At 40.6% G+C, this 27,530-nt stretch overlaps 2 pseudogenes across 1 annotated transcript in view; one reads left to right on the forward strand and one right to left on the reverse strand.

Moving 5' to 3' along the window:
• The window catches only part of FAM169BP (family with sequence similarity 169 member B, pseudogene), a 77,175-nt pseudogene that overhangs the window by 9,188 nt on the left and 40,457 nt on the right, over nt 1–27,530 (reverse strand). Inside the window, exon 5 of the transcript NR_171054.1 lies at nt 5,479–5,661. The product of NR_171054.1 is annotated as a family with sequence similarity 169 member B, pseudogene (transcript). The remainder of the gene's footprint in view (nt 1–5,478; nt 5,662–27,530) is intronic.
• On the forward strand, nt 20,486–21,063 carry LOC100421087 (zinc finger CCHC-type containing 9 pseudogene; annotated as a pseudogene).

Genomic DNA, 27,530 nt, shown 5'->3' on the forward strand with positions numbered 1-27,530 from the left:
CACCCTTCCCATCTGCATTCATTTACTAGGGCTCCTCTAACAAAACACTGCAGACTGGGTGGCTTAAACCAGGAGTCTCCATCCCCTGGGCCACCGACCAGTGCCAGGACACACAGCAGGAGGTGAGTGGTGGAGGAGTGCGCGAAGCTTCATCTGTATTTACAGTGGCTCCCATTGCTTGTGTTACTGCCTGAGCTCCGCCTCCTGTCAGATCAGCGGCAGCATTAGATTCTCATAAGAGCGCGGATCCTATCGTGAACTTTGCATGTGAGGTTGCGCACTCCTTATGAGAATCTAATGCCTGATGATCTGTCACTGTCTCCCATCACCCCCAGATGGGACCATCTATTTGCAAGAAAATAAGCTCAGGGCTCCCACTGATTCTACATTATGGTAAGCTGCATAATTATTTCATTATATATTAAAATGTAATCACAATAGAAATAAAGTGCACAATAAATAAATGTAATGTGCTTGAATCATCCTGAAACCAACCCTTTGTCCCTGCCCCATCCGTGGAAAAACTGTCTTCCACGAAACCAGTCCCTGGTGCCAAAAAGGTTGGGGACCACTGGTTTAAACAACAGAAATTTATTTCACACAGTTATGGAGGCTGGACGTCCAAGATCAAGGTGGCCCAGGGTTGGTTTCTCCTGAGGCTTCTCTCCTTGGCTTACGAATGGCCATTTTCTCCCTGCATCCTCACACGGCTGTTTCTGTTTGGGTCCATCCTGGTGCCTCTCTTCTTAAGGACACCAGTCATACTGGACTAGGGGCCCGCCCTTAGGACCTCGTTCAACCTTAATTAGCTTTTTAAAGGCCCTATCTCCAAATGTGGTCACACCAAGGGCTTCAACATACGAATTTGAGTTGGGGGCCCAATTCAGTCCTTAGTACCATCCACCCTGGCCGCTCTTCATGCACCGTCCTTCCTCCCTCCCAAAGAACCTTCAAGCTTATCCTCTGCTCCCTCCCGGATTCCAGAGTCCACTCAAGGTTCCTAGACTTTTATGCCAACATTCGTGGGTGAACATTTTCACATGGCAATGTCCCGAATCCAGGTGAATGGGAAACTGCTCCTGGTTCTGCAGGTGCCCATGAGGACTCCATTAGGCCCTCTTCTTAACATTTGGGGGGCCCCGGGGAAGAACACAGATGGAAACCTACAGAGTGCAATGCTAAGTGCAGGCAGGCCTCGGAGATACTGTGCGTTTGGTTCCAGACCACCACAATAAAGCAAATATCACAGCAAAGCAAGTCACGCAAATTTTTTGGTTTCCTAGTGCATACATGTAAAAGTTATGTTTATACTATACTGTAGTCTAGTAAGCGTGCAATAGCATTTTGTCTTAAAAATACAATGTACATACCTTAATTAAAATATATTTTAATGCTAAACAATGCTAGTGATCATCTGAGCCTTCAGGAAGTCATAATCTGTGCTGGTGGAGGGTCTTGCGTCAAGGTTGATGGCTTCTCAGGGTGGGGTTGCTGTGGCAATTTCTTAAAATAACACAGCAATGAAGTTTCTTCCACTAATTGATTCTTCCTTTCACAATAGATTTCTCTGCAGCATGTGATGCTGTTTGACAGCATTTTACCCACAGTAGAACTTCTTTCAAAATTGGAGTCCATCCTCTCAAACCCTGCTGCTGCTACTTTCTCAGCTAATTTATGGAATATTCTAAATCCTTTGTTGTCATTTCAGCAATGTCCACTGCATCTTCAACAGGAGGAGATTCCAACTCAAGAACCCATTTTCTTTGCTCATCCATAAGAAGCAACTCCTCAACTGTTCAAGATTAATCATGAGGTTGCAGCAATTCAGTCCTATCTTCAGGCTCCACTTCTAATTCTAGTTCTCTCTTTATTTCCACCACATCTGCGTGACTTCCTTTGCTGAAGTCTTGGACTCCTCCCTCAAAGTTATCCATGAGGGTTGGAATCGACTTCTTCCAAACTCCTATGAATGTGGATATTTTGACCTTCCATGAATCATGAGTGTTCTTAATCGTGTCTAGAATGGTGAATCCTTTCCAGAAGGTTTTCAGTGTACTTTGCCCAGAACCATCAGAGGAATCACTATCTATGGAAACCTTAGGAAGTGTATTTCTTAAATAAGGTTTGAAAGCTGAAATTATTCCTTGATCTCCAGGCTTCAGAATGGATATTATGTTAGCAGGCATGGAAATAACATTAATCTCTTTGTGCATCTCCATCAGACCTCTTGGATAACCAGGTGCATTGTCAATGAACAATAATATTTTGAGAGGAATCTTTTATTCTGAGCAGTAGGTCTCAACTGTGGGCTTAAATTATTCAATAAAACACGCTATAAACAGACATGCTGTCATCCAGGCACCGTTGTTCCATTTCTAAAGCACAGACAGAATAGATTTGGCATAATTCTTGAGGGCCTTAGGATTTTCAGAGCAGTAAATGAGGACTAACTTCAACTGAAAGACACCAGCTACATCAACCCCTAATAAGAGACTCGACCTGTCCTTTGAAGCTTTGAGGCCAGGCATTGACTTCTCTTTTCTAGCTATGAAAGTCCTAGATGACATGTTCTTCTAGTAGAAGGCTGTTTCACCTACATTGAAAATCTGTTGTGTAGTGTAGCCACCTTTATCAATGATCTGAGCTAGATCTTCCAGATAACTTGCTGTAGCTTCTGTATCAGCACCTGCTGCTTCATCCTGCACTTTTATGTTATGGAGACAGCGTCTTTCCTTAAACTTCATGAGCCAACCTCTGCTAGCTTCAAACTTTTCTTCTGCAGCTTCCTCAAATCCCTCAGCCTTCATAGAATTGAAGAGAGTTAGGGCCTTACTCTGGGTTAGGCTTTGACTTAAGGCAATGTTGTTGCTGGTTTGATCTTCTATCTAGACCACTAAAACTTTCTCCCTATCAGCAATAAGGCTGTTTTACTTTCTTATCATTTGTATGTTCACCAGAGTCGAACTTTTCATTCCCTTCAAGAATTCTTCCTTTGCATTCACAACTTTGTTAACTGTTTGGTGCAAGAGACCTAGCATTCAGCCTACCTCAGCTTTTGACATGCCTTCCTCACTAAGCTTAGTCATTTCTAGCTTTTGATTTAAAGTGAAAGACATGTGACTCTTCCATTCACTTGAACATTCAGAGGCCATTGTAGGGTTATTAATTGGCCTAATTTCAATATTGTTGTGTCTCATGGAATAGGAAGAGAAGGAAGGAACAGCTGGTCGGGAGCAGAATCAGAACAGGCTCGTGTATTGATTAAGTTCACTAACTTACACGGGCATGGTTTGTGGTGCCCCAAAACAATTACAATAGTAACGTCAAATATCACTGATCACAGATCACCATGACAGATATAATAATAATGAAGAAGTTTGAAATATTGTGAAAATTACCAAAACATGACACAGAGACACGAAGTGAGACCATGCTGTTGGAAAAATATCCCCGATAGACTTGCTCAAAGCAGGGCTGCCACAGCCTTCAAAATGTAAAACACGCAGCATCTGCGAAGTGCAATCAAGGGAAGAGCAGTGAAATGAGGAACGCCTGTCTTCCAAAGGTACAAACCAAGTTAGCAAAGCGCTATATATGACACGTTCTGCCCTCCTATCTTGACAAATATAACTTCCTAACAACAGGAGAAGCTCGTTTCAAATTTAGAATTCTTGGACTCCTTGGAGTGTTGCACCAGAATGTGGCAATACCAAGCGAGCTGGCCCCCAGCCGGCAGTCCACCCCCTTCTCCTCCCACCCCAGCCCCCGATACCTCAAGGGGCCTGTGAGTACAAATGTGGCCGTCCTCCCCACACGCCATCCACAGCTCCCCAAGAGCCACCCCTGGGCTCTAAGGATGTGCAAACTAGCGGCATGGTCCACCCTCATGAGCCCAGACCATGGGATGAGGTCCACTCAGGCCCACAGTGGCCACTGGCAGGAATTCTGGGGTCCTGGCACCCTGAGCCAGATTAGAAGGAGCAGCATGAGCCAGGTGGGTACCTCCTCTTGGGCCCGTGGAGTCCTTGCCCCCCTGGAGGGAGATGCAGTTGAAAGAAGGCTCAAAGCATGGGGCCCAGGGCAGGAGTCCCTCCTGTCCAGTTGGAAGGCATCAGTGAACTCAATAAAAACCTGACAGGCACATCTGGGTGTCTGAAGCCCAGAGAGAAGTAGCGTGAGTCAGAATCAGCACGTTCAGATCTTTCTTTGCAGGCAAAGACAGTGGAAGGACGAGAGGGATCATAGGGCCCTACAGGGTCTTAGCAAGGCTGGCCCAGGCTCAGTAGCCAGCCCTTAGCCTTGGAGTCCACTGTTCCTTTGAGTAAAAGGCTCTCTTTCACTCCCTTGCCAAAGCCTCCTAAAACCGTGAGGTGGCCTGCACCTGAAACAAAGAGGAGAGGGCCTGGAAGGACATGGGTGTGGACAGAGGACCAGCTGCCTGGGCCCCTGAATGCTCCTGCACCTGAAACAAGAAAGAGGAGGGGGCCTGGAAGGACATGGGTGTGGACAGAGGACCAGCTGCCTGGGCCCCCGAATGCTCCTACACCTGAAAGTGAGCTACATGGTGCAGGAAGTCTCGAGCGCTCTTTGCAGAAATTCAAGGCTCTTCAGAGTTTTAGCAACAGACTAAGAGTTTGAAAATACAAAGAAACAGCCAGACCCACTTGAGGAAAAGTATGTTTTTACCTGCTTTTCTTTATGACTTCACAGCAACAGAAGCTTCCTTGCTTTTCCTAACTGTTCTCTCCTATCCCTTGAGCCAGAAAGACACCAGAAACTGCATACTAAGCGTTCAAAAACAGCCACACACCAAGAACAGGGGCAGAGCACAAAGTAGGGTGTGTGTGCTTCATGAGGGAGAAGGGGACTCAGAGACATGCTCTCCAGAGCCTCCCACCCTCATCACCTTAGAGTGTGATGTTTCACATCAGAGCTGTTTCATCCTCCTCTGGCAAACGTGGATAAAGAATATGGGAGGGAGGCGTCTTGTGCGTAGAGAGCTACAGAGACGCTGGAAAGCCCAGCCCATTCAGAGCTTGCCTTTCTACCCGGTCCCTGCCTTCCCTTCAGCTCCTGGGCTCTCCCGTGGCTTCTAGTTCAAAGGACAAAGTGAGGAACTACAGGCGTCAAGTGAAAGAGCACAGGCACTCCAAAGCCCCGCAGCCCGCAGCCTGGCGGCAGCTCTCCAGATTCCCTCCTCTCTGAGCTCGCTGATTTGTTTGTGATTGTTTCTAAATCCAATTATTTTCCAGCTTGGGAGAGTTCACTTCTTGTGATCAAACATGAAGTCTTGGTTTCTGCTGCAGCAACCAGAGATTTCTCAGAAGGAAGGAAAATCCCATGTGCGTGCCGCCGAGCCAAGGCCTGCACCTGCCCACGAGGGCTCCCCAGGGCCTCCTCCTGCAGAATCCCCTGGAATGCACGTGTGTTATCCATCACCTTTACCCAAATGCTTCTGCACGACACAAGGGGGGTTACCTTGGTACATGGCAGGAGACATCGAGCAGCTAACCCCCAGGGCCTCGTCCTCTGGGAATGTCTCACAGAAGTCCCGCAGCATGGCTGTTCCCAAGCCTCGGTGCCAGTGTTTCCTCCTGATGAACACGGTGTCAAAGACAGGCAGCAGGTAGCATGCACCGGTGCCATCACCACACAGTCTGCCTGCAGAGAAAGAAAGAGACACACACTGTCCCCTGGGCTCGCGGCTGACCCACTAGGACCCTGTAAGGCCCCTGCACAGCCAGAGTTATGGGTACCTCCTGGAAACATGGTCAGGTACACAAGCTAAACAAGTGATGCTAACATAGCAGATCATTCTCCAGTTGACTGATCAGCTTTCTTTACAAACTCACATGATACAAGACCACTGGACTGAAATGAAAGGTGAACCTGGGAGACTAGGCAGAGTGAGGCCACTCAGGCAGCATCCTCCTCAGATTCCTCCCTTCACTGCACACTGTTCAATGAGACCCTTGGAGCCAACCAGGAGTATCTGGCAACATCAACTATCTCCCTGCAGAAGTGAAACCTGAAGAGACCAATTCGACCCATCTCTAGGGTACGCACTTGTTTCAGTAACTCTAGCAAGGGCTCACCGTGTCCAATTATAGCAAAATGCACTTACCCCATATAGACACACCACCAGGCCCTGCTTCTCATGAAATATTGATGGCCCTGCTGCAGCAGAGCCAGAGAGGTGACAATTGGCACCCTCCCCACTTTTCACCCACAACTTAACTGTATCGCAACCAAAGTCAACACCAGCACAGTTGCCATTTCTGCAATGAGAACGTGGCCTTTCAGCCAGGCACCTCTGTCATCACCCTAACTAGAACACCAGTTCTACACTGGGCCTACTAGCTCACCTTCCTCACCTCCAAACTGCACAGATGCCCATGACCTAGATGCAATGGAAGAAGAAAACAAATATGGAGCATTTTCAGCTTCTGTTGGAAGTGGTGGTATTTGTCCCTGCCAAGATTCAGAAGTGGGTAATTTCCCAAACAAACAAAAATGACTCCGATTCTAATCAGCCAGACTGAAATGCAAAGATACACACTGCCATGGTGAACTGTTTGCAAAAATGGCCACGATTACTTCTTTCCTATGGCCATGCCCCTTTGCATCTGATTTTGAAGCTCCTCCCATCAAGAGATGGGATCAATTTCCCCTCACCTCTAATTCCAGCTGGCCTTGTGACTCACTTTGGTCAACAGAATGAGGCAGAGTGACAGCACCACCACTCTAAGCCTAGGCCTCCTGGGGTCCAGTGTACCTGTGTTCTCTCTCAGATCCCTGCAACACACCACAAAAGCAAGCCCAGGGTGACCTGCTACCATGAAAGGAATATGGCCCACGCACTGCTGCGGTCCCAGGGAATGTCTCGCCAGCCCCAAGCAGCAGAGCCACCTGACAGGCAGGTTACCATGGATAAACAGCAAGCCCAGCTAGACTAGAAAATCACCCAGCTGAGCTCAGCCTAAAATGCCAAGCAAAAGAATTGTTAGCTAAATAAGCAGTTACTATTTCATACCAAAAATGAATTTAAAAATAAATAATCTACAGCCAATAAGGAAGTTCATTTCTCTTGAGACAGTAACTATAAAATATTTGGGATTTCAAGCTTGATGCGCTTGAGATGACAGTACCAACTTGCTTGCAATTATATTATTTCAATATATAGAAGATGAGAGCAATGTTCTTGTAATTGTGAAGTCTTCCAAAACTAAAAGGCTTTAATATTAAATAAAGATGCAATTTAATTTACAATAGCATTAAAAAGAAGTAAATAATTAAGAGTATGTTTAACAAAAGAATCTTGAACACCAAAAACTACAAGACATTGTTGAGAGAAATTAAAGAAGAGCTAAATAAATGAAGAGAAATTCCATGTGCATGGATTGGATGACTCAATTCTTACAATAATTCTTCCCAAAATGATCTGTAAACTCAATGCTGGCTCTATCAAAATCCTCTTTGTAATTCTACAACTAAGCATATGAAAGGATGCTCCACATCATATGCTATTAGGAAATCACAAATTTAAACAATGAGATGCCACTACACACCTATTAGAATAGCCAAATTATTTTTTTTTTGAGACAGAGTTTCGCTCTTATTGCCCAGGCTGGAATGCAATGGCGCGATCTCAGCTCACTGCAACCTCCGCCTCCTGGGTTCAAGCGATTCTCCTGCCTCAGCCTCCCAAGTAGCTGGGATTACAGGCATGTGCCACCATGCCCAACTAATTTTTGTATTTTTAGTAAAGACAGGGTTTCGCCATGTTGGTCAGGCTGGTCTCGAACTCCTGACCTCAGGTGATCCGCCTGCCTCGGCCTCCCAAAGTGCTGGGATTACAGGTGTGAGCCACCACACCTGGCCTAGAATAGCCAAATTCTTTAACACAGACAACAACAAATGCTGGTGAGGATGTGGAACAACAGGAACTGTCATTCATTGCTTGTCAGAATACAAAATGGTGCAGCCACTTTGGAAGGCATTTTGGCAGTTTCTTACAGAACTAAACATACTCTTACCTTGTGATTCAGCAGTCACACTCCTTGATATTTACTCAACGGAGTTGAAAACGATGTTCACACAAAAATCTGCACACAAATATTTATTCATAATTACTAGAACTTAGAAGCAATCAGGATGTACTTCGGACGGTGAGTGGATAAACTGTGGCTTATCCAGTCAATGTAACATTATTCTGCACTAAAAAGAAATGAGTTATTACTATAAAAAGATATAGAAAAACCATAAGGGCATATTACTAAGTGAAAGAAGCTAACTGAACAATGACATTCCATTGGATTCCAACTACAGTAATGTGCTTCATAAAGACGTTTCAGTCAACAATGGACCACATGTGCAATGGAGATCCCATAAGATTAAAATACAGCTGAAAAATTCCTGTCGCCTAGTGATAGTCATAGGCATCATAAAGTCGTAATGCAACACGCTATTCATGTGTTTGTGGTGATGCTGGGGTAAACACACCTACCACACTGCCAGTCATATAAAAGTCTAGCACATACAGGCGGGCATGGTGGCTCATGCCTGTAATCCCAGCACTTTGGGAAGCCGAGGTGGGAGGATCACTTGAGGTCAGGAGTTTGAGACCAGCCTGGCTAACATAGTGAAACCCCATCTCTACCAAAAATATAAAAAAAATTAGCCAGGTGTGGTGGCATGCACCTGTAATCCCAGCTACTCAGGAGGCTGAGGCAGGAGAATTGCTTGAACCCAGGGGGCAGAGATTGCAGTGAGCCGAGATTGCACCACTGCACTCCAGCCTGGGCAAGAGAACAAGCCTCTGCCAAAAAAAAAAAAAAAGTCTAGCACATACAATTATGCACAGTACCTAATACCCAATAATGATAATAAATGACTGATACTGGTTTATGTATTTACTATACTATATTTGTATTGTCATTTTAGAGCGTACACCTTCTACTCATTATAAAAACAAAATTAACTGTAAAGCAGCCTCAGGCAGGTCCTCTAGGAGGTATTCCAGAAGAAGGCAGTTATCCTAGGAAATGATAGCTCCACGCATGTTACTGCCCCTGGAGACCTTCCAGTGGGACAAGATGTGGAAGTGGAAGACAGTGATATTGACAATCCTCACCCTGAGTAGGCCTAGGCTAAGGAGTGTGTTTGTCTCTTTGCTTTCAGCAAGAAATATTTTTAAACTTAAAAAAAAATTTTTTTTAATTAAAGCTTATAGAATAAGAAAATATTTATGTGCAGCTGCATAATGTATTTATGTTTTAGCCAAGTGTTATTACAAAAGAGTCAAAAAGTTAAAAAAATCAAAAAGTTTTTGTAAAGTAAAAAGGTTACAGTAAGCTACAGTTCATTTATTATTGAAGGAAAAAGTAGACATTTAGTGTAACCTACGTGTACAGTGTTTCTAAAGTGCACAGTAGTGCACAGTACTGTCCTAGGCCTTCACATTCACTCACCACTCACTCACTCCCTGAATCACCCAGAGAAACTTCCAGTCCTGCAGCTCCACTCACGGTAAGTACTCTACACGAGCATACTGTTTTTAAATCTCTTTACTGTACCTTTTCTATATTTACATATGTTTAGATACAGAAATACCATTATGTTACAATTGCCTCCAGTAATGAGTACAGTAACGAGCTATACAGGTTTGTAGCCTAGAGATGACAGGCCATACTCCACAGCCTAGGAGTGCAGCAGGCTCTGCCATCAAGTCTTATGTGAATACATTCTATCATGTTCACACAATGATGCAATTGCCTAACAATGCATTCCTCAAAACATATCCCTGTGGCTAAGTGACAAATGACTGTATATTACATTCTGGAAAAGGCAAAACTAGGGAGGCATGGTGACCGGGCGCGGTGGCTCACACCTGTAATTCGAGCACTTTGGAAGGCCAAGGTGGGTGGATCACCTGAGGTCAGGAGTTCAAGACCAGCCTGGTCAACATGGCGAAACCCCATCTCTACTAAAAATACAAAAACTGAGCCAGGCATGGTGGCTCATGCCTGTAATCCCAGCTACTTGGGAGGCTGAGACACGAGAACTGCTTGAATTGGGGAGGTGGAGGTTGCAGTGAGCCAACATCACACCACTGCATTCCAGCCTGTGTGACAAGAGTGAGACCCCGTCTCAAAAAAAAAGATCTGTGGTTACCAGGGCCAGGAGTAAGAAGGATGAGTAGACAGAGTACAGAGGAATTTTAGGCAGTGAAACTACCCTGTGTGATATTACAACAGTGGACACATGCCATTAAACATTTGTCACAACCCATAGAAGTTACAACATGGAGTAAGCTCTCATGTAAACTATGAACTTCAGTTAATGATAATCTATTCTTATAGGCTGAACCTTGTGTCTCCCACATTCGCAAACCCACAGTACCTCAGAAGATACTTTCTTTGCAGCTGGTTGGAGATAAGGCCTTTAAAAGAGGTCATGAAGCTAAAAAGGAGGCATTAGGATATGCACCACTCCAACCTTCTTACAGGGACTAGTGTCCCTATAAGAAGAAATCTGGACACACAGAAAGATACCAGCAATACTCAAGTAGAGAAAAGACCAAGTATGGACATAGTGAGAAGGCAGCCATCTGCAAGCCAAGAAGAAGCCTCTAAAGAAAACAAGCTTTCTGACACCTTGACCTTGAACTTCTGGCCTCCATAACTGTGAGAAAATTAATTTCTGTTGTTTAAGTCAGTAGTCTCCAACATTTTTGGCACCAGGAACCAGTTTCATGGAAGACAATTTTCCCATGGACCAGGAAACGGAGGGGATGGTTTCAGGATGATTCAAGTGCATTACATTTATTGTGCACTTTATTTATATTATTATGGTGTAATATATAATGAAATAATTATTATACAACTCACTATAATGTAGAATCAGTGGGAGCCCTGAGCTTGTTTTCTTGCAACTAGATGGTCCCATCTGGGGGTGATGGGAGACAGTGACAGATCATCAGGCATTAGATTCTCATAAGGAGCACGCAACCTAGACCCCTCGCATGTGAAGTTCACAGTAGGGTCCGCACTCTTACGAGAATCTGATGCTGCCACTGATCTGACAGGAGGCAAAGGTCAGGTGGTAACATGAGCAATGGGAGTGACCGTAAATACAGATGAAACTTTGCTCACTCGCCCACCCCTCACCTCCTGCTGTGCAGCCCAGCTCCTAACAGGCCACAGACTGGTACCAGTCCATGGCCCGGGGACTGGGGACCCCTAGTTTAAGCCACCCAGTCTGTGGTATTTTGTTATGGAAGCCCTAGAAAACTAGTGTATATGTCAATATTGGTTCATCAATTGTAACAAACGTACCTCACTAGCGCAATATGTTAACAATAGGGGAAATGATTGGGGGAGAGGATACATTGGAACTCTGTACTTGCCCCTCAATTTTTCTATAAAACTAAAAACTATTCTAAAAATAAAGCTTATTCATATTTTTTAATGTATCAGGTATTTTATAAAGTGAGGTTGGACCTTTACTTTACATCATACATAAAAAAATAATTCAAAATGGATCATAGACATGAATGTAAGAGCTAAAACTATAAAGCTTTTAGAAAAAGTAAAAATCTCCCCAACCTTGGGTTAGGCAAAGAGTTCTTAGATTCAACACCCAGAACACAATCAATTGACAAACCTAACTTCATCAATGTTTTAAATGTTTTGTTTCAAAAGGCACGACTGGGGAACATGGCGGACGGGAGGCAGGACTAGATTGCAGCTCTGACTGGGACAGACAGAGCAGTGTGTGGAGGCTCGCATTGTAAATTTTTGCTCCAGAACAACTGCAGGAATAAATCAGGAAACCTGAGAGGACCCACAGACTCCCTGAAGGAAGCAGATTGCTCCTGCAGGACCCAGGAGACACCCCAAATACTGTGCTGGTATCCATGACTGAGAGTCCCACAGACGGTTCACATCACAGGACTCTGTGCAGACAACCCCCAGTACCAGCTGGAGCCTGGTAGACTTGCTGGCTGGCTAGACCCAGAAGAGAAATAACAATCACTACAGCTTGGCTCTCAGGAAGCCACATCCACAGGAATAGGGGGAAAGCACTACATCAAGGGAACACCCCATGGGACAAAAGAAGCCTTCAGCCCTAGCCCTTCCCTCTGACAGAGCCTACTCAAATGAGAAGGAACCAGAAAACCAACTCTGGTAATATGACAAAACAAGGTTCTTTAACATCTCCAAAAAATCACAGTAGCTCACCAGCAACGGACCCAAACAAAGAAGAAATACCTGATTTACCTGAAAAAGAATTTAGGAGATTAGTTATTAAGCTAATCAGGGAGGCACCAGAGAAAGGCGAAGCCCATTGTAAGGAAATCCAAAAAAATGATACAAGAAGTGAAGGCAGGAAATAGATATTCAAGGAAATAGCATTAAAAAGAAATCAAAACTCCGGGAAACAACAGACACACTTATAGAAATGCAAAATGCTCTGGAAAGTCTCAGCAATAGAATTGAACAAAGAGAATAAAGAAATTCAGAGCTCAAAGACAAGGTCTTCAAATTAACCCAATCCAACAAGACAAAGAAAAAATAATAAGAAAATATGAACAAAGCCTCCAAGAAGTCTGGGATTATGCCAAATGTAAGAATAATCAGTGCTCCCGAGGAAGAAGAGAAATCTAAAAGTTTGGAAAACATATTTGGGGAAATAATCGAGGAAAACTTCCCCAGCCTTGCTAGAGCCCTAGACACCCAAATACAAGAACCACAAAGAACACCTGAGAAATTCATCGCAAAAAGATTATCACCTAGGCACATTGTCATCAGGTTATCTAAAGTTAAGACAAAGGAAAGAATCTTTAAAGCTGTCAGATAAAAGCACCAGGTAACCTATAAAAGAAAACCTATCAGATTAACAGCAGATTTCTCTGCAGAAACCCTACAAGCTAGAAGAGGTTGGTGCCCTATCTTCAGCTTCCTCAAACAAAACAATTAGCCAAGAAATTTGTAGCCGGTGAAACTAACCTTCATATATGAAGGAACGATGTAGTCTTTTTCAGACAATCAAATGCTGAGAGAATTCGCCACTACCAAGCCAAGCCACCACCACAAGAACCGCTAAAAGGAGCTCTAAATCTTGAAACAAATCCTGGAAACACATCAGAACAGAACCTCTTTAAAGCATAAATCTCACAGGACCTATAAAACAAAAATATAATTTAAAAAACAGAAACAAAAAACCAAGGTATACAGACAACAAACAGCATGATGAATGGAGTGGTATCTCACATCTCAATACTAACACTGAATGTAAATGGCCTAAATGGTCCACTTAAAAGATACAGAATTGCAGAATGGATAAGGATTCATCAGCCAACTACCTGCTGTCTTCAAGAGACTCACCTAACACATAAGGACTCACATAAACTTAAGATAAAGGGGTGGAAAAAGACATTTCAGGCAAAAGCAAGCAAGAGTAACTATTCTTATATCAGACAAAACAAACTAAACCAGCAGCAGTTAAAAAAGGAAAAGGGGGCATTATAATAATGATAAAAGGTCTTGTCCAACAGGAAAATATCACAATCCTAAACATATATGCACCTAACACTAGAGCTCCCAAATTTATAAAACAATTACTACTAAACCTAAGAAATGAGATAAACAGCAACACAATAATAGTGGGGGACTTCAATACTCCACTGACAGCACTAGACAGGCCATCAAGACAGAAAGTCAACAAAGAAACAATGGATTTAAACTATACCCTGGAACAAATGGACTTAACATATATATACAGAATATCCCATCCAACAATCACAGAATGTACATTCTATTCAACAGTGCATGGAACTTTCTCCAAGATAGACCATATGATAGACCATAAAATGAGCCTCAATAAATTTAAGAAAACTGAAATGATATCAAGCACTCTCTTAGACCACAGCAGAATAAAACTGGAAGTCAATTCCAAAAGAAACCTCCAAAATCATATACATATACATGGAAATTAAATAATCCACTCCTGAATGATCACTGGGTCAAAAATGAAACCAAGATGGATATTTAAAAATTCTTCACACTGAATAACAATAGTTTCACAACCTATCAAAACTTCTGGGACACAGCAACGGCAGTGCTAAGAGGAAAGTTCATAGCCCTAAACACCTACATCAAAAAGTCTGAAAGAGCAAAAAGACAATCTAAGGTCACGCCACCCCAAGGAACTAGAGAAACAAGAACAAACCAAACCCAAACCCAGCAGAAAAAAAGGAAATAACCAAGATCAGAGCAGAACCAAATGAAATTAAAACAAATAAACAAACAAAAAAACAAAAGATAAATGAAACAAAAAGCTGGTTTTTTGAAAACATAAACACAATTGATAGACCATTGGCAAGATTAACCCAGAAAAGAAGAGAGAAAATCCAAATAAGCTCAATAAGAAATGAAACGGGAGATACTACAACTGACACCACAGAAATACAAAAGATCATTCGAGGCTACTATGAACACCTTTACGTGCATAAACTAGAAAACCTAGAGGAGATGGATAAATTCCTGGAGAGATACAACCCTCCTAGCTTAAATCAAGAAGAATTAGATACCCTGAATAAACCAATAACAAGCAGCAAGATTGAAATCGTAATTTAAAAATGACCAACAAAAAAGTCCAGGATGAGATGAATTCACAGCAGAATTCTACCAGACATTCAAAGAAGGATTGGTACCAATCCTATTGACACTATTCCACAAGATAGAGAAAGGGGGAACGCTCCCTAAATCATTCTATGAAGCCAGTATCACCCTAATACCAAAACCAGGAAAGGACATAGCCAAAAAGAAAACTACAGACCAAATCCCTGATGAACATAGATGCTAAAATCCTTAACAAAATACTAGCTAACCAAATCCAACAACATATCAAAAAGATAATCCACTATGATCAAGTGGGTTTCATACCAGGGATGTAGGATGGTTTAACATACACAGGTCAATAAATGTGATACACCACATAAACAGAATTAAAAACAAAAATCATAAGATCATCTCAATAGATGCAGAAAAAGAATTAGACAAAATTCAGCATCCCTTTATGATTAAAACTCTCAGCAAAATCGGCACACAACGGACATACCCCAATATAATTAAAGCCATCTATGACAAATCCGCAGCCAACATAATACTGAATGGGGAAAAGTTGAAAGCATTCCCTCTGAGAACTGGAACAAAACAAGGATGCCCACTCTCACCACTCCTCTTCAACATAGCCAGAATCTGGAAATCCTAGCCAGAGCAATCAGACAAGAGAAAGAAATAAAAGGCATCCAAATCAGTAAAGAGAAAGTCAAACTGTCACTGTTTGCTGATGATATAATCATTTACCTAGAAAACCCTAAAGACTCCTGTAGAAAGCTCCTAGAACTGATAGAAGAATTCAGCTAAGCTTCCAGATACAAAATTAATGTACACAAATCACTAGCTCTTCTATACACCAACAGCAAACAAGCAGAGAATCAAATTAAGAACTCAACCCCTTTTATAATAGCTGCAAAAAAAAAAACTTAGGAATACACCTAACCAAGAAGGTGAAAGACCTCTACAAGAAAAACTACAAGACACTGCTGAAAGAAATCACAGATGACACAAACAAATGGAGACACATCCCATGCTCATGGATGGGTAGAATCCATATTGTGAAAATGACCATACTGTCAAAAGCAATGTACGAATTCAATGCATTTCCCATCAAAATACCACCACCATTCTTTGCAGAATTAGAAAAAACAATTCTAAAATTCATATGGAACCAAAAAGATCCTGCATAGCCAAAGCAAGACTAAGCAAAAAGAAGAAATATGGAGGCATCACATTACCTGATTTCAAACTATACTATGAGGCCATAGTCACCAAAACAGCATGGTACTGGTATAAAAATAGGCACAAAGACCAAAGGAATAGAATAGAGAACCCAGAATACACCCAAATACTTAAAGCCAACTGATCTTCGACAAAGCAAACAAAAACATAAAGTGAGAAAGGACAGTCTTTTCAACAAATGGTGCTGGGATAATTGGCTAGACACGTGTAGGAGAATGAAATTGGATCCTTATCGCTCACCTTATATAAAAATCAACTCAAGATGGATCAAGAACTTAAATCTAAGACCTCAAACTATAAAAATTCTGGAAGATAACATTGGGAAAACCCCTCTAGATATTGGCTTAGGCAAGGATTTCATGACCAAAAACCCAAAAGCAAATGCAATAAAAACAAAGATAAATTGCTGGGACTTAATTAAACTAAAGAGCTTTTGCATGGCAAAAGGAAGAGTCAGCAGAGTAAAAAGACAACCCACAGAGTGAGAGAAAATCTTCACAAGCTATACATCTGACAAAGTACTACTATCCAGAATCTACAATGAACTCAAACAAATCAACAAGAGAAAAACAATCCCATCAAAAAGTGGGCTAAGGTCATGAACAGACAATTCTCAAAAGAAGATATACAAATGGCCAACAAATATATGAAAAAATGCTCAACATCACTAATGATCAGGGAAATGCAAATCAAAACCACCATGCAATACCACCTTACTCCTGCAAGAATGGCCATAATAAAAATGTAGTAGATGTTGGCGTGGCTGTGGTGAACAGGGAACACTTCTACACTGCTGGTGGCAATGTAAGCTACTACAACCACTGTAGAAAACAGTGTGGAGATTCCTTAAAGAACTAAAAGTAGAACTACCATTTGATCCAGCAGATACCCAGATACTACTGGGTATCTATCCAGAGGAAAAGAGTCATTACAAAAAAAAAAAAAAAAGATACTTGTACATGCATGTTTATAGCAGCACAATTGGCAATTGCAAAATCAAGGAACCAACCCAAATGCCCATCAATCAACAAATGAATATAGAAACTGTGATATGTATATATGTATGATGGAATACTACTCAGCCATCATAAAAAGAAATGAACTAATGGCATTCATAGCAACCCAGATGAGACTGGAGACTATTATTCTAAGTGAAGTAACTCAGGAATGGAAAACCAAAAGTCATATGTTCTCACCCAAAAGTGGGAGCTAAGCTATGATGATACAAAGGCATAAGAATGACACAGTGGACTTCGGGGACTGAGTGGGAAAGGGTGGGAAGGGGGTGAGGAATGAAACTCTACAAATAGGGTGCAGTGTCTACTGCCCGGGTGATGGGTGTACCAAAATCTCACAAATCACCACTAAAGAACTTACTCATGTAATCAAACACCACCTGTTCCCCCAATAACTTACGGAAATTAAAAAAAAAAAAAGACACCACTAAGAAAATGAAAAACAAGCCATAGACTGCAAGAAAATGTTTACAAATCACATTTCTGATAAAAGAATTAGATTCAAAATATATAAAGAATTCTTACAATTCAATAAGAAGAAAATAGACAACGCTATTAAAAATGGACAGAAAATCTGAACAGACATTTCTTCAAAGAAAACATATAAATGGCTACTTATCAATTAAAAAATATTTCACATCCTAAGTCCTTAGGGAAATGCAAGTTATAACCACAATGAAATGCCACTTTTGGCCTACTAGAATGGCTATAATAAAAAAAAACAATAACAACTGTTGACAAGGATGTGGAGAAATTGAAACCCTCATCTATTGCTGATGGAAATGTGTTATGGTACAGCCACTTTGTGAAACAATTTGGCAGTTATTTAAGAAGTCAAACATAAGCTTACCCAATGACCCAGCAATTCTACCCCTAGGAACCTACCCAAAAGAAAAGAAAACAATGTCTATGCAAAGACGTGTTTGTGAATGTTTATAGCAGGGTAATTCATAATAGCCTAAAACTGGAAACAACCCATCAACTAATTTTGTTTATGATAGATGCATAAACAAAATGTGATATTCATACAATGGAATACTACTCAACAATAAAAAGGAACAAAATATTAACACATGTTACAATTTGGATGAACCTCGAAAACACACTGTGCTAAATGAAAAAGAAACCAGATGCAAAAGATTGCATATTTTATCATTCCATTTATGTGAACTGTCTTGGAAAGGCAAGTTGGTAGAGACAGAACAGATCAGTGATTTCTTGGAGCTGGGATGGAAACAGGCTGACAGCAAACAGCCAGTACTTTTGGGGGGGTGATGGAAATGTCCTAAAACTGGATTTTGATGATGGTTACACAACTCCCTAAATTTGCCAAAAATCACTGGCTTATACGCTTATAATTGGAAAATTTTATGGAATGTAAAAATTATTCAACAAATTGAATTATTCAATTAATAATTATTCAAAATTATTCGAAAATATCCAGTAAAATTGATTTCTTAAAAATACAATGGATTAATTTTTTTTAAAAAAGATTGTAACAAATCAATTATAAAAAAGAGAAAAGAGTAGCTTTACAGTGAAGAAATCTAGCAGACACTCCCTTAACTGTGATCAGGGTTATCACCAGTAGTAACATTCATATCGTGCACCCTACCTCTCTGATATGATGTGAGGAGAAAGGTACTTCCCTTTCCTCCCAAATTCAAAGCCCCATAGTCTAATAATGAGAAAACATCAGGCAAGTATATATTAAGGGACATTCTATAGATCACCTGACTGGTACTTCTCAAAAGTGTCCAGATGGTGAAAAATAAGGAAAAACCAAGAAAAGGTCTCAGATTGGAAGAGTAGACTAAAGAGACTTGAAGACTAAATGTAACATGTATGCTGGATCAGGAAGAGGAAAAGGACATTGGTGGAAAATTAGCCAATACTGACATCTTTGTTTTGATAATTATTCCATGGTTATAGAAGATGTTGACACTAGGGGGTTGGAGGGTGAAGGGTGAACAGGCACCTTCTGTACTATCTTTGTAACTCTTCCGTAAATCTAAAATTCTTTCAAAATAAACAGGTAGAGGAGGAAGAAGAAGAAACAAAAATCCTCCAGCAGCCTTTTATAAATGCTGATCACACCTTCAGATTGGTCAAATAAAATTCATCTTGTAACATCAACTCCCAAAGCCGATTCTTATTACAAACCCAGTCATGAACAGGGGCTGAAGCAATAATCCGGTTGTGCTCAAGTGGGCTTGCTACTCATAATCAGAACATAAAGTCCAAGGAAACCCTAGCAACATAGCACAGAATATTTGATAGGAACCATAGCAACGATCTCGCCCATACTACCCATTTTATAGACATGGCAACTGACAGGGTCAAAAAAAGGTTAAAAACAGGGAGGACGTGGGACTTGGCCCCAACTGTCCAAAGATGTCTCTCTTCAGCTCATGGGGCATCTTTTGATCCCAGAGCAAACCTAGACCAACCCATGCCGTGAAGTAGTTGGGGTCACAACTGAGCCAAGAACAAGATCTTCTGATGCCCTTTCTTTTTCTTCTACTTCACGCCTAAAATCACTTCCACTGACTACACAAGTTGTCTCTCTACCTAACAACACTTTGAAGACTAAAGCCTATTCCAAAATGTGCACTATCCAAAATCAGATGAAGCTGTGTCCCTCAGGTAAATGTTCAGAAAGGCCTGTTACATGAGGATAATTAGTCCTGGATAAAGGGTCAGGGGAACAGATCCAAAGAGACCACAATTCATAGCAAATAGTTGGGGAGGGCAGGTATGGCAAAGTACAGACCAGTCAGAACATACAACCCATAAGACCACAGCAGGGTGAACCAACCAAACTGTCAGTAGCGTGAGATGGTTTTAACCATGAATGCTGATAGCAGAAAACAAAAATGGCTAAAAGTGAACATGCTAAGCATCAGAATTTACAATATTCAAAAAGAACAGAAGAAACTCAAAGAAAATAAAGGGAAAAAGACAAAAAGGATAGACATTAATGAAATAGAAAGGAAAGAAACAACAGAAAGTTTTTAAAAATTCAAGAGTTGCTAAAATAAGAAAGAAAGGAGAGACAGTATATCAAGTATATTATGAATTAAAAGAGATATCCCTACAGATGTGGCAAAAGTTTAAAAGAAAAGAAAAGATGATAATAAACTTGAAAACAAATAAAAAGGACAAATTCCTAGGATAAGACAACCCACCAAAACTGACTCAAGAAAAAACCAAAAAACTAACTTGTCCTATGAAGATTAAAACCTTAAATCAGTAGCTTAAAATCCTCCAGCACTGAAGACATCAGGCACAAATGATTTTAGAGATAAGTTCTATCAAACTTCCAAGAACACCTTCAAGAGAACAAAAAATAAAGAGAACATTCCCCCTCTCAGTCTATGAGTATAATATAGCCTTTGAGGGAAAAAGAAAAAGCCAAGGACAGGAAGAATATGTCAACAGTAGTCATTTGTGAACATAAAGAAAATAAAAATAAACAAATATTAACATACTGGATTCAACAAGGCATACAAAGCTAATTTAGGTCACCATAGGGGGCTAGTTTCTCTGCTCATTAACCTGGCTGCTCTGGAGGAGAGGCAAGACCAATAACCCACACAAAACAAAGAAAAGAAAAACTAGGGTTACTTTAATGAAGATACGAGTGATTTCTTGGAATACCTAAGACAGAATTCACAGATTGCCCACCAGGAAATGACAGGGGCAGACAGCTAGAAAGTAATGGAAGAAACTGTATCTACTTCAAAAAGGCGATTTGTCAGGAAGGAGGAAGATTAAAAAGACAAGTGGCGGGACAAATTCCATAATGTACGTCTCTGCCCAGCTGCTTTTGAGAATCAAGACAGGCCACCAGGAAAGTTATGGTGTGGATGTCAGAGCACAAAATAAACAAGTGCCTGGCCAAAGATGACCCAGCTTTCAGCAAATTTCCTTTTGCAGTATTTCTTTTGTGGAGCTGTGACGCACCCACCCAGGTCTTGTCCTGATAATTTTAAGAGACATTGTACTGATGGTGGCTGCTGCACCTGCTGTGGCTCTGTAGAGTGTTTTATGAAGAACTGCTCTAAAAAGCCAAATTCAAGTCAAGTAGTAACAGTTGCTAGTCCAAGAGAATGAGTGCAAATTGTGACGATATTTAGGATACTCCTAAACCACAGAAATCCAATACAGAGATGGCTAAGAGTTCAATTTTGCTAAGTGTTATTACTATCTTTTAGTTACAATCATGCTATTATGTCTGTCCTGGGCCCACTTCACGAGGTTAGAGCCAGACTCCCTTGGAACCTAGCACAGTTAAGCATCCATTGAAGATACTAGTAAGTGGTCAGAATGTTCCTAAATTCTGCCCACCAAGAACTACTACACCAATTTAGATTAAATAATTTTTTGGAAAAAAAATTGCATTCTCTAGAACAGGGGTTGGCAAACTTTTTCTGTAAAGATCAGAGAGTAAATGCTTTAGGCTTTGGGAGCCATAAAGTCTCTGTTGCAACTACTCAACTCTACAGTTGAAATGCAAAAGCAACCAAGGACAATATGAGTGGGCATAGCAATATGCCAATAAAACTTTATTTACAGAAACAAGCAATGGGCATGATTTGGCTCACAGACCACAGTTTGCTAATGTCTGCCCAGAAAAACATCATTTTTAACAGGAGGAACTAAGCTTTTATAATATCTATTTGTAATAATTATATGTTTCTCAAAAACAATTAAAAATAATGCATTCACATGAACCATCCCAAAATAGGACACACCTGGAGAAAAGCTTTAGTTATATTATTTTCCCTTTTAAAATTTCATTTATTTCTACATATTTTGCTATTATAACAGGAATGAATTTATAAGGTGCCACAAAATTTGATTTACTTTTTAAATATTCAAAAAAAGCTCAGGAAAAAAAAAAAAAAAAAAAAAAACTTGACCTAGCAGATTTATCCCAGGTAGTATAACATAAGAAAATCTATATCAGTAATGTACCTCATTTAAAGATTACAGGAGAAAGGCTGCTTCAGTTCAGCATTGTGCTGGACCCTGAACATTACTCAATCCATTAATCAGAAAACAGAATTTTTTTTTTTTTTTTAGACAGAGTTTCACTCTTGTTGCCCAGGCTGGTGTGCAATGGCATGATCTTGGCTCACTGCAATCTCTGCCTCCCAGGTTCAAATGATTGTTTTGCCTCACCCTCTGAGTAGCTGGGATTACAGGCGCACACCACCACATCCAGCTAATTTTGTATTCTTAGTAGAGACGAGGTTTCTCCATGTTGGTCAGGCTGGTATCAAACTCCTGACCTCAGGTATTCCACCTGCTTCGGCCTCCCAAAGTGCTGGGATTACAGGTGTGAGCCACCGCGCCCGGCCAGAAAACAGAAAATTTTAAAAAGCAAAAGAAACTATAAGAATGGGCAATCTTTTCAATGAATGGTGCTGGAAAAACTGGATATACATATGCAAAAGAATGAAGTTGGACCCTTAGCTGACACTATACACAAAAATTAACTCAAAATGGATCAAAGACCTAAATGTAAGACCTAAAGCTATAAAACTCTTAGAAGAAAACATATGGCAGAAGCTTCGTGACACTGGATTTGGCAATGATTTCTTGAATATGACACCAATGACACAGGCAATTGGACTTCATGAAAATTTATAAATTTTGTGCATCAAAAGTCAGTATCAACAAAGTAAAAAGGCATCACATAGAATGGGAGAGAAAAATTGCAAATAATATATCTGATAAGGGATTATTATGGTCTGAATGTGTCCCCCAAAATTCATGTATTGAAACTTAATCACCAAAGTGATAGTATTAAGAGATAGGGCCTTTAGAGGGTGATTAGGCCTTGAAGGCTCCAGCCTCATGGATGAGATTGGCACTCCTATGAAAGGGCTGGAGGGAGTGAGTGGAAGGAGGCCCTTTTCTCCCCTTTCCATCCTTTCACCATGTGAGGACACGGCATTCATCCCCTCAGGAAGATACGTTAACAAGATGCCATTTGGAGGCAAATGGCAGGATTCATTTGGGTCCTCACTAGACACTGAACCTGCTAGTATCTTGATCTTAGACTTCTCAGCCTCCAGAACTGTGAGAAATAAATTTCTATTGCTCATAAATTACCCAATCTGTGGTATTTTGTTATAGCACCACAAACAGACTAAGGTGGGGGTTAATATCTAGAAAATACAGAGAACTATTCAACCTCAACAACATGAAAACAACCTGCAAATCCATAGCTTACATCATATTCAACAGTGAAAAGCTGCAAGATAGTCCTCTAAGATCAATAACAAGGATATTCACTCTTGCCACTTCTATTCAACATAGTACTAGAAGTACTAGCCATAGCAATGAGGCAAGAGAAAGAAATAAAAGCCATCCAAACTGGAAAGGAAGAAGTTAAATTGTCTCTGTTTGCAGCAGATGACATAACCTTTACCTTGTCTTTCTCTTTCTTTCTTTCTTTCTTTTTTTCTTTCTTCTTTCTTTTTCTTTTTTCTTTTCTTTCTTTTCCTTCCTTCCTTCCTTCTCTCTCTTTCTTTCTTTCATTCTTTCTTTCTTTCTCTTTTTTTTTTTTTGAGACAGGGTCTCACTCTGTCGACCAGGCTGGAGTGCATTGACGTGACTGTAACTCACTGCAGCCTAAACCTACCAGGCTCAAGCAATCCTCCTGCCTCAGCCTCTCAAGCAGCTGGGACAACAGGCACATCATCACACCTGGCTAATTACTTTTTAATTTTTTTTGTAGAGACAGGGTCTCCCTATGTTACCCAGGCTGGTCTCAAACTCCTGGGCTCAAGTGAGCCTCTGGCCTTGGCCTCCCAAAGTGCTGAGATTTCAGCGATGAGTCACTATGCCCAGGTGACACAATCTTATATATAAAAAAATCCTAAAGACTATATTTAAAAAACCATTAGAACTAATAAACAAATTCAGTAAATTTGCGGGACACAAACTCAACATACAAAAATCAGTAGTGTTTCTATACACTAACAATTAACTATCCAAAAGAGAAATTAAGGAAACAATCCCATTTACAATAGCTACAAAAAAAATAACAAAATACCTTAGGAATAAATTTAACCAAAGAGATAAAATTCTATACAATGAAAGCTATAATACTGATGAAAGAAATTGAAGAAGACACAAATAAATGAAAATATATCCCATGTTCATGGATTAGAAAGATTAATACTGTGGAAATATCCCTGCTACCCAAAGCTATCTATAGATTCAACACATTCTCTATCAAAATTCCAATGACATTTTTCACAGATATAGAAAAAAAAATCCTAAAATTTGTATAGAACCACAAAAGACCCAAATACTCAAAGTGATCTTAAGCAGAAAGAATAAAGCCACAAGCATCACACTCTGTAATTTTAAAACATATACAAAACTATAGTAATCAAAATAGCATAGTATCGACATAAAAACAGACTGGTATACCAATGGAACAGAACAATGAGCCCAGAAATAAACCCACATATGTACAACCAATTGATTTTTGACAAAGATGCCAAGAACACACATTGGAAAACGACAGTCACTTCACTAAATGGTGTTGGGAAAACAGGATATCCACATGCAGAAGAATGAAATTAGGCTCTTATCTCACATCATATACAAAAAACAACTCAAACTGGATTAAAGATTTAAATGTAAGGCTGAAACCTGTAAAACTACTATAAGAAAACATAGGGGGAAAGCTCCATGACATTGGCCTGGACAATGGTTTTTTTAATATGATCCCAAAGCATAGGCAACAAAAGCAAAAATACACAAAGGGGACTACATCAAACTAAAAAGCTTCTGCATGGCAAAAGAAACAATCAACAGAGTGAAAAGGCAACCTACAGAATGGGAGAATATTTGCAAACCATACATCGGATGAGGGGTCAATATCTAAAACATATAAGGAACTCATACACCCTAATAGCAAGAAAACAAATAACCCAATTTAAAAATGGGTGCATGATCTCATTTATATGTAGATCTAAAAAAGTCCAATTCATAGAAGCAGAGAGTAGGATGGTGGTTACCAGGTGCTAGAGGTGGGGAGAAACTGGGAAGATATTGGTCAAAGGATATAAAATTTCATATAGACAGGAGAATAACTTAAAGAAATCTACTGTACAACATGGTGACTACAGTTAATAACAACATACAGTATACTTGAAAATTGTTACAAGAGTAGATTTTAAGTGTTCTCACTACAAATAACTGATAAATATGTGAGGTAATGCATATATTCATTAGTTTGATTTAGCCATTCCACAATCTATACATATTTCAAAACATCATGTTGTACACCAAAAAAATATACAATATTTACCTGTCAATTTAAAAAACTTTAAATATGAATAATGTTATGTAACCATCATCACCATCCATGTCCAGAACTCTTTCCATATTGTAAATGGAAACTCTGTACCCATTAAACAATAACTCCCTGTTTCCCTCTCCCTCTAGTTCTTGAAACCACCATTTTGCTTTGTATGAATTTGAGACAAATTCACAATTTGAATATGAGTATTTTTTAAATTAATATTTTTTAATTGACAGATAAATATTGTATATATCTTTGGTGTACAATATGATGTCTTGAAATATGTATAGATTATGGAAAGGCTTATACAATATATTTATTTGTAATATATTGATCACCATCCCCCAAATTAAATACTAATAAAAAATAAGACTTTGTTAAATAATGTTGATCTTTGAAAAGCCATAAACCACTGTAAATATCTAAGATTTTTTTTTGCTCCCCAAGAACAAATCACTGTCTTACTGGGGGCAATATCTCCTTGCTGAGAATGTGTGCCTTAGGTCAGTGGTTCTCACACTGTAGAATACACGAGAATCACCTGCAGGACTTGTTAACACAGACTGCTGGGCCCCACTGCAGAGTTTCTGATTCAGTAGGTCTGGGGTAGAGCCTGAGAATTCCTGTATCCTATACTACATGAGCAGCACAAAGCTGTGTCCTCTGCAGGGCTCTAAAAGTTAAGAGTTGTCAACAAAGGGCTGCCTGGTGGTCTTGACTAAGAGTATTACAGCCCAGGTTAAGGCCAGAATACTTTTAGGCAAGACCTCCAGGATTCCTCCATGGATTATTATGGGATGTCTGCCAAACCCATAGCTCTTTAAAATTGCCCCACCATAGCCTCAGTTAAAGAGACAGGGCTAGATGGCCATCTCTGATCCATAGCACCCAGCCTACCTGACCACAGCTGAGCAAAAGGTGGACCCATGATCCATCCATAAGAAACCAAACCACCGGCCAGCTGGACTAGCACTATAGTAGGTCCTGGCCCTTGAAAGCGGGTACAGTTAGAGGCCAGTCTGGCATCACAGCAAACTAAAGTCAACATTCTAAGGGAGCAAGAAACATAAGTAAGTAAAGGAAGCTGGTCTGCAAAGAGACTAGCAGAGTAGCACCCCACTAACAGCTGTGGGGTCCCCATCCCAGCCTTAGAAGCCAGGCAGCACCTCACGAACTTCCCCTGCCCTCTTCCAGTGCCCTCCCTTCTTGTAAGTCCAGGAGTAGACTTCTGTTCCTTGCAGTGGCAAGCCCCTTCTCTTTGGGTGGCAGACTCGGTACCCGAAACAACACTGCACTCTTGCCACTCCATTTTTTGCTATGCTTCTACTAAAGTCCAGAAGATGGCAAGGGGTCCCTGCTTGACGGGACAACAGTGCAGGAGGTCCCTGTGGGCCTGGTGTCTGGGGAAGGCAGAGAACAGAAGGCCCTGGTGACAGGCAGGGCTGAGGCCGACTCCACAGTGTCACTGTCATCTCACAGGTCCCATGCTTGCCTGGGCTCCAAACCACCTGGTTTAATATTTTTAAGTGTTGCCCTTGTATTTGTTCAAGGACTTTCAGAAATCATTTGTGTTGGGCTTTCAGGAATCTGAAATGCAAAAGTGTTCTTTTTAGGTTTTTATACAAAACCACAATACTTATTAGCTCTGCCTTAAATTGGCCGACTCTCCACTCCCCAGTGAGTATTTTCTTCCCTTGAATGCTAACGGTTTTGTGGAATGGTGGTTTTAGAGCAAAAGTTAAAGTAAAACCTCACAATTTTGATTACCTAGGGAAAATTTCAACGTGAAATAGTGAAATGGCTAAAGTGTCAATATTTTGTAAGAAAGACAATTACAGAACCATCAAACAAAGGGAGAAACTCAAACCACCCTACTAGCAAAATGTGTCCAAAGAGAGGTCTACCTGAAAATATCTTATTTGTTCTATATAAAGGCACTCACTTGTTTGAAAACTGAATGCGCTCTTCAGCAGTAATGGGACACAAACTACTGATACACACATTATGGTGGATGAATCTCAAAGGCATTATTCCGAGCGAAAGAAGTCAGTCTCCAATGGCTAAACACCGCCTGACTTCATGTACAGGATATTCTAAAAGAGACAGAACTGTAGTGATGGAGAACAGACCCGTGGTTGCTGGGGTTATTGGGAGGCGGGGATGAAGCGTATGGGGGAGGTAATGAAACTATTGTTTATTTTCACTGTGGTTGTGGTTATTCAAACCTATACATGGGTTAAAATTCACAGAACTGTAAACTCCCCCTAAAAGTGAATTTTACTCTATAACTTTTAAAAATTTAAAGTTACATGCAGA

The sequence above is a fragment of the Homo sapiens genome, chromosome 15 (assembly GCF_000001405.40).
Source record: "Homo sapiens chromosome 15, GRCh38.p14 Primary Assembly".
Lineage (NCBI taxonomy): Eukaryota > Metazoa > Chordata > Mammalia > Primates > Hominidae > Homo > Homo sapiens.